The 8,870-nt window shown below is 35.3% G+C and overlaps 1 pseudogene; it reads left to right on the top strand.

Annotated features, from left to right (window-relative positions):
• OR10AK1P (olfactory receptor family 10 subfamily AK member 1 pseudogene) lies at window positions 8,126-8,540 on the top strand (annotated as a pseudogene).

Genomic DNA, 8,870 nt, shown 5'->3' with positions numbered 1-8,870 from the left:
CACAAGAAATAATATGTTTTGTTATTATGAAAATATAAAACTATATTACAAAGAAAATATTTGCGTTTCTCTTTTTTATTTCTACTAAATGTCATAAAGAATATTTCCCATCAAGTAGGTAAATTTTTTACATCAACCAAATCTAATTTTGAAAGAAAAATAAATATCTTTTGATCTAACAGGAATGCCATAAAAACATATGGCATTTAGGGACATTCTTTCAAAGTATAACTGAAAGTCATTTAATGATAGTATCAGAGAGAGACAAATTTAAAATAACAAAAGTGGGCATAATTAAAAACAAATGACTAACGGTGAGCCTTAAATGATGGTCAACGAAACAATCTAGAAAAAAAGAAAGAGAAAAATATGAACAAATATTGAATTGATGAGTGGATTCTTACTAATATTTAGCAAATCAAATAGATAATAAGCACAATAAAAATTTACGTGACTATTGACAAATGATTTTCCAGTCTGTAATAAATGAAATATGCAAAAATGAATTTGCATATTATCAGAAGCCATATAAGTGGTGTATTTATAAAGTGAGCCTTTGTCCTTTTTAATGCAAAAAGATATGTATAAATTTTTGTTCATATACTTGCTGACAATGATAATTTAAACAAATTCCAAAATAACAAAGTAAAAAAATAGCAAAAATTTAATCATTTAAAAAAATGGAACTTAAAGCACTTAATAAGGCTAATAAAATAAAGATAACATGAATCTATTTATACTTAATGACAATACAATGGGTAAGTTAATTTTCTTTCTTTCTTTTTTTTTTTTTTTTTGAGATGAAGTCTTGCTCTTTTGCCCAGGCTGGAGTACAGTGGCCCAAATTTAGCTCACTGCAACCTCCACCTCCCAGGTTCAAACAATTCTCCCACCTCAGCCTCCCAAGAGCTGGGATTACAGTCACGTGCCACCATGCCCGACTAATTTTTGTGGTTTTAGAGGAAATGGGGTTTCACTATGTTGGCCAGACTGGTCTTGAACTCCTGACCTCAAGTGATCTGCCCTCCTCGGCCTCCCAAAATGCTGGGATTACAGGCGTGAGCCATCGCACCTGGCCGGTAAGTTAATTTTTTGATATCCCACCATATCAACCCAATTAAGAAAATATATATCTCTAAATATTGTCAAATCATTGATCAAATATTTCCTATGTATCATTATTAAGCCTAAAGAAAATAAATACATTTGTACTGTTTTCTCTAATTTGAGTATTTGAAAGGATTCACCAGATTATACAGAATGTACCCAAAGAAGGATTTTTTAAAGTCAAAGGACAGGCATGGTGACTCACGCATATAAACCTAGCACTTTGGGAGACCAAGGCCAGGATGAGCACTTGAGACCAAGAATTTCAGAGCAGTATGGGCAATATAGTGAAACTGTGACTCCACTAAAAAATTAAAATAAGCTGGCATGTTGACATGTGCCTGTGGTCCCAGCTACTTGGGAGGTTGAGGCAGGAGGAGTGCTTGAGCCTAGGGGTTTGAGGCTACAATAGACTGTGATCATACCAGTGCACTCCAGCCCGGGCGACACAGCAAGATCCCATCTCAAAACCAAACCAAACAAACAAAAAAAACAAATGAAGTTAAAAAATATTGTTTACGAGAAAAGGAAAACTGCAGGCATGCATTGAATGTCTTAGAGTATTCAGCAAGAAGAAATTCCCAGGGCCCTTTCTTTCCCATACAAGAAATTACATTCTTACTTATTAATAACATCAGGTGAACTGTGGAAAGAATATGGATTTCTGGAGAGGTCAGAGAGTAAAGGGAATTGAGGTGGAGTATAATTTCTGTTGTCATTTTATCAAGTCAGGTTGTCAAACTCATTACAGCAGTCACAAACCATCTAAAAAGAAAGTGACTGAGGTTCCAGAGTTGTTTTAGACCTTATACAGAATACCATATCTTATCTTATCTGATCTTATCTTCACCAAGAGTAAAAATCTAGGCATCCATACATTCCCAGATAAAGAGAGCTTTTCTAACAAAAGGTGTAGATCAACTCTATATCCACAATGGTAATGGTATATTCAATGCCTTTTAAGTGATTGCATTGCCTTTCTAATGCAGCATAACAAATGACTACAAACTTGGCAATTTAAGAAAACATACATTTATTATCTCGCAGTTTCTCTAGGTCATAAATTTGGCACAGGATAGTAGGCTCCCTGCTTAGAGTCTCAGAGGCTGAAATCAAGGTATCAGCTAGGCCAAGTTCTTGTCTGGAGGCTCTGGGGAAGAATATCTGATTATAGCTAGGGTCAGTTACATTGTTGGTAGAGTCTAGTTTCTTAGTTTCTTGAGATTGAAAGACAGGTCAAATTTCTTTTCTTTTCTTTCTTTCTTCTTTTTTTTTTTTTTTTTTTTTGAGACAGAGTCTCCCTCTGTCGCCAAGCTGGAGTGCAGTGGCACAATCTAGGCTCACTGCTACCTCCTACTCCCTGGTTCAAGCGATTCTCCTGCCTTAGCCTCCCGAGTAGCTGGGATTACAGGCACGCACCACCACACCCAGCTAATTTTTGTATTTTTAGTAGAGATGGGGTTTCACCCTGTTGGCCAGGATGGTCTCAATCTCCTGGACAGATCCAATTTCTTAGCTGGATGTCAGCTGAGGCCAAATCTTATCTCCTAGAAGCTAATTGCATTCCCACGCCCTCTCCCCTCTTCCATTTCCCTCACTTTAAATCTGATTTTTTTTTTTTATCTCTGACCACTGTACCTAGATTTAAGGATTCATATGATTAGGTCAGGTCAACATGAATAATTACCCTAAAGTCAACTGATATTAGACCTTAATTATATGTGCATAATGCTTTTACAGCAAGGCCTAGATTAGTGGTTGATTGCACAACTAGGAGACAGGTATAAGTACAGGAGGGAGCAGTAATATTTGGGCCATCATAAAATTGTACCTAGTACAGTTATTCAATAAACAAATGTTAAAATCTGAAGAAAATGATAAAAATGTATAAAAGCAAAAGCTAATTAAAATCTACTTTCAAATGGGATTAGTAAATTTATGTGAGAAGTTCTGTCTATCTTACTTTCAAGTAAAAATTCAGAAGGCCAGGTGTTGTGGCTCAAATCTGTAGTCCCACCACTTTGGGAGTCCAAGGCAGGAAGAACGCTAGAGCCCAGGAGTTCGAGACGATCCTGGGCAACATGGAAAAAACCCTGTCTCTACAAAAAATACTAAGAAATTAGCCAGATATGGTGGCCCACGTCTGTAGTCACAACTTCTTGGGAAGCTGAGGTGGGAGGATCATCTGAGCCCAGGAGGTCGAGGCTGCCTTGAGCCGTGATGGTGCCACTGCACTCCAGCCCAGGTGACAGAATGAGATCCTGTTTCAAAAAAAAAAGAAAAAAAAATCAACTTAGAAACTGAGGCAAGCATAAAGAGTTTGGTCTTAGCAAAATTGGGAGAGAACGAGAAAAGGGCATGGATCAAATAACGTTTTGTTTCAAATTAGAATGTGATGTGGGAGTGAGTACAAAAGTCTCTGTTATACCTAACAATAATTTTCACACAGATCAAGGAAGTTGGTTAGAAATGATAGCAGGGACTGTGATAATTTTTTTTCTCTGATATATATCAGATTTAAAATAGTTCTATTTATCACAGACAGGAGATACAGCTTGTAATAGCACCCATGTTGTCCTTGACAAAAATAATTAACTCTCCAACTACGATAGTGTTGGTTTTAAAAAGAAATAGATCATAATAAATAAAGCATGTGCATGTAATATATAAGAGTCTAATGTTCCCACATTCTAAGACTCAGGTGCAAGAATTAAGGAGAAACATTAAGAAACAGAGATAAGAAAGGAACTCAAAGACACAATTTAAATATTCTCCAGGGAATTATAGATGGCATTAAGAAGTGTTGCTTTCTCAAGAGTATTCTTGCTGCTGCCAAGATTTAGTGGGGTTGGCGGGGTGGGTGGCCAGGGAACTGAATTCCACTGGATGACTGTTGTGAAGGGCAGCTTTGGCCAGAGTGTCTGTCGAAAATTCTAAATGAGTGATCAGCAGAAGCACAAAGTTAAATATTAAGGTGACATATGGGAAATAAATGTAATCAGTAGCAAAAGAAGAATATTTTTATTTAAAGATAACATGATGTTTTGGATTTTTTCTTTTGTTTTTTGAGACAGAGTCTCACTCTGTCACTCAGGCTGGAGTGCAGTGGTGCAATCTTGACTCACTGCAACTTCCTCTTCCCAGGTTCAAGCGATTCTCCTGCCTCAGCTTCCCAAGTAGCTGGGACTACAGGCACCCGCCACCATGCCCGGCTAATTTTTGTAGTTTTTTAGTAGAGATGGGGTGTCACCTTGTTGATCAGGCTGGTCTCGAACTCCTGACTTCAAGTGAGCCGCCTGCCTCAGCATCCCAAAGTGCTGGGATTACAGGTGTGAGCCACCGTGCCCAGCCTGAATACACATATATTCTGAAAGAGACATGAGTTTCTGTCATGAGAAGAAAAATTTGTTAAAAGTATTTTATTAACACAATTTAAAGTAATGAATATGCATATTATATTTACACAATATATAATTATATATTAACATGTACTTAAACTCTTCTACTGAGAAAGCTATAACTAAATCTAGCAGAGAGCTATAACAAAATCTAGAAACATACAAATTATTTTAAATGTTATAACCTTTGTATTTGTTATTTTAAAACATTGTAGAAATATGAGAATCAAGATTCAATAGATTCAAAATTCAGCATGTAAACAAGTTTTTAAACACAAAAATTTTATTCAATCAAAGCCTTCATAGTTGGATTTCTCCCTTCCTAATTATGGAGGAAACAAAACAAAAGTAATACTAATCACTTTGAAGCTCAGACAACCCTACGTAAATACAGCTTGTTTAGTGATGGTCATCTATCAGTGGCACAATAGAAACTTATTTGGCATAATTTCTTCTAAGGAAAATATTGGTTTATATTTACGTACGTTTCTATGACTCAATATATGACAAGATGCTCCCTAGGTTATGGGAGACCAAATTTCTAATATTTTTCTCAGACATATTTTTCCTAGATTTTCTTATAATAGTAGGTTTAAAATAATAATAACGTACAAATGTGGTAGCTATCATTTCCAAGTCATCTCTTGATTTTTCTCACAGTTTTTTTTTTTAGCATCTTCACCGGTATGCTCAAAACTTTAAGCAAACACTTCAGTTTTGTTTTTTTGAGATGTAATGAAAAATTACTGAATTTCAGAAAGCCATTGTTGAAAGATTTATGAACACTGTGATTGTACTTACAGTTCATTCTCTAAATTGAGATCACACTATAATTTAAAATAATCTATAATGGATTCAGAGTCATCCTACTTGATGATTAAAGAATGTGATAATGGACCGGGCGCAGTCACTCACACCTGGAATCTGAACACTTTGAGAGGCTGAAGCCTGAGGGTGCCTTGAGCTCAGGAATTTGAGACCAGCCTGGGCAACATAGCAAGATCCTGTGTCTACAAAAAAATTAAAAAATTAGCCTGGCATGGTGGCATTCGCCTGTGGTTCCAGCTACTTGGGAGGCTGAGGTGAGAGGATCCTGTGAGCCAGACAGGTCGAGGCTGTAGTGAGCCCAGTTTGCAGGACTGCACTCCAGCAAGACCCTGTCTAAAATAATAATAATAATAATAATAATAATAATAATAAAATAAAGGAAAGGAAAATAAAATAATTTGACATTTATCCATCAAATAGGATAAAATCATATTCAAATAACATTATGCACATAAAGGAAATGATAACTACGTAAAGAAAACACTTGGTGTGTTTTCTTTTTCGTGTTAACTAGCACTTACCATTTCCTTTTTCCATTTGTAAATATGTATTTACTTGGGTCTCCTATGACATTGGATGTTTTGTCAGGAATTTTTGTTCTCTCTTTTTTGAGAATAATGCAGTCTTATAGTAGATTTACATTAAATTAAATCCAAAATAGTTATTCACAAAAATATTATATGCCCAAACTCATTAACACCTTCTATGGGTCTATACAAGGAAATGAGAAGCACTGTCTCAGCTTTATGGGAAGTTGTCAGGCACAGAGAAGGCACATGTATAAATTGCCCTAAAACAATATCAATTGGCAATATTTATGTGCCAATAGCACATAAATACATAGTTTAGGTGTTAGGGATTATACATCAAGATCGCACTCTAATTTAAAATAATCTATAATGAATTCAAAGACTCATCTTAATTGATGGTTAAAGTATTTCATATTTATAAAATATCCTGGATTACTTGACTATGATGTAACTTACACATTATTATATAAAATACATATGACAGATAACTGAGAACCATTTAAGGAGACCACATCTTGTCTCATGTGTCAAACAGCATCCTGTCTGATAGCTCACTAATGAGACAGACTTTTTCACATGCTTTCTATCCAAAATGAATATTCTCTTCTTTTGATCTTTCAGACAACTATCTAAAAATTATAATGTATTATAATTTTCACATCTCAGTTTTGATTTCCATATGCTGCATCTCAGCTATATTATTAAAATGAGAATGACCCATGGCACACAGTGAGACATCTGAGGTTAGATAAATGAGGCGAATTTCTTGAAATCATATCAGTGCAATTTATTCTATATTGTCTTTATTAATGGCCAACCACAAGGCTTAAAAAAAAAAGAAAACAAACAAGCAAAATCATTTAGTAGACATTTGCTTCATGAGAAAATAGAGTAGGATTGTGAAGCATAAGAAAGCAATGATCATTTTATTTTGATAGATAAGTGAAACAGGATATAGTTTCAAAGAGAGGTATATGAACAAAATATTAGAGCCATAATCATGTGATGTGGAAGGGAAGGCACATGCTGTACTTGCAAAAGGCTTCATGGAAGAGTTGAGGCGTTATTGAAAAATACAATTCAAAATTTAATGGTGTACATTCCATTGGGAAATGTGAGAAATATAACTGCTTTTGCTTCAAGATTCTTTTTGTTTATATGTGTGATAAGAAGCCTCACTTTAATTTGTTCATATACAAGCAAAAATTGGAAATGCATAATTCTAGAGCCATTTGCTGTCATTCAAATGCAAATCTAGTATTATATATAATTATTTTAATATGTTAAGGATTTAGTGTATATTTGACATTAGACTTCAGTTGTGTTCTTTGATCATAAGATTTAAAATAGTAGAGTAGAAATGGAGATGATAAATTTTATATGCTACTCATTCAAACGCCTCTAGTGGTTTAAAACCAAGCCAAAAGGATAAATAATTAATTTCACTGTTTTCACAGACTGAAAGCTAACCATGGGAAGTAAATTTCCTTTCAGTAAAGGTATACATTCTTTGGAGATTTTTGATATTCTCAATCTCCAATATTTATTTTCTTTCTTTTCTATGTGATAATCATGATGGGAAATGATAGGAAATAATGGAAATCATATTTTAATCATCAGGATTGACCAGGATCACCTGATTCCTATGTATCTTTTCTGCAGTGTTTTTTCCTTCTTTAAATATGTTTCATGTCTCTCACTGTACTTAGAATGTTCATAAAGCTTTGGATTCAGAAAACAAATATTTATTTGTTTGCCTGTGTTAAACAAATGTGCTTTCTCCTGATGTTTGTAACTATCGAGTGCTTTCTCTGGACAGTGATGACCTATAACCACTTTGTGAATCACAAGGTCTCTAACTGATGATTGGCTCCTAGACTGTCGGAGTTTCAGGGTAGATAAGGCAGACATGTCAGGCTTTCTCCATGCCCTTTTGTGAATCTTATTTTTTTTTCATTTTTTTTTAAATTTTTTTTTAATTTTTGAGACAGAGTCTTGGTCTGTCACCCAGGCTGGAGTGCAGTGGAGCGATCTCGGCTCACTGCAAGCTCCACTCCCTCGGTTCACACCATTCTCCTGCCTCAGCCTCCCGAGTAGCTGGGACTACAGGTGCCCGCCACCACGCCCTGCTAATTTTTTTGTATTTTTAGTAGAGATTTCAAAGTGTTCGCCAGGATGGTCTCAATCTCCTGATGTCGTGATCTGCCCACTTCGGCCTCCCAAAGTGCTGGGATTACAGGCATGAGCCACAGTGCCCGGCCGTGACTCTTATTTAAAAAAAATAACTTATGTGACATCCCCTCAATACTCAACGCTGGCCTGTGGAGATACTTTTGTGAATGAGATGTTGCTCTTTACAGATGTTGTGCTGTTTGCTATGAACTCTTTTATGATGATACTTGGCTACTACAGGAAAATCATCTTCACCATCTTGAAGTCTCCATCAGAAACAGGACAAGTCATAGGCTCCTCCACCTGCTCATCTCATGTCATAGTTGTGGCTTTATTCTGTAGATCCAGAATCATTACATACATATGACCTAAATCCAAACATTCTTCCATAAGATGCAAATTTTTATCTCTTTTCTATATCATTGTCAACTCAGTGTTTAACCTCATGATCTACAATGTGAGGAAGAGATTAAAAATGGCTTTGTGAAAATTCCTGCCTATTTAATGCATTAACTACTGATTTATCCATTTTCTCACTTAATTCTGCCATTATCTTATCAGAAATTGTTACCTTATTTTCCTGACTTAATGTTGGCTAATTTTGCTTTCTAATTACGGAATTTCTCATTTTATGCTGGACTTTCTGAAATCATAATTATAACCAAAGAGGTGGCAATTTCAATGAATAAGTTTTCAACAAACTTATATTTACTCCACAAGTCCTTGCACAAATTCATTAGTATCTTGGGATTATTTACTAAAAAACATAGTATGTCTTACTGAGGGAGAAGAAAAGGAAAAATCAGTTAGGTAAAAGGTTAAGGCTGGTCCTTGG

This window comes from Homo sapiens, chromosome 11 (assembly GCF_000001405.40).
Source record: "Homo sapiens chromosome 11, GRCh38.p14 Primary Assembly".
NCBI lineage: Eukaryota > Metazoa > Chordata > Mammalia > Primates > Hominidae > Homo > Homo sapiens.
This window is presented reverse-complemented; position numbering and strand designations above follow the sequence as displayed.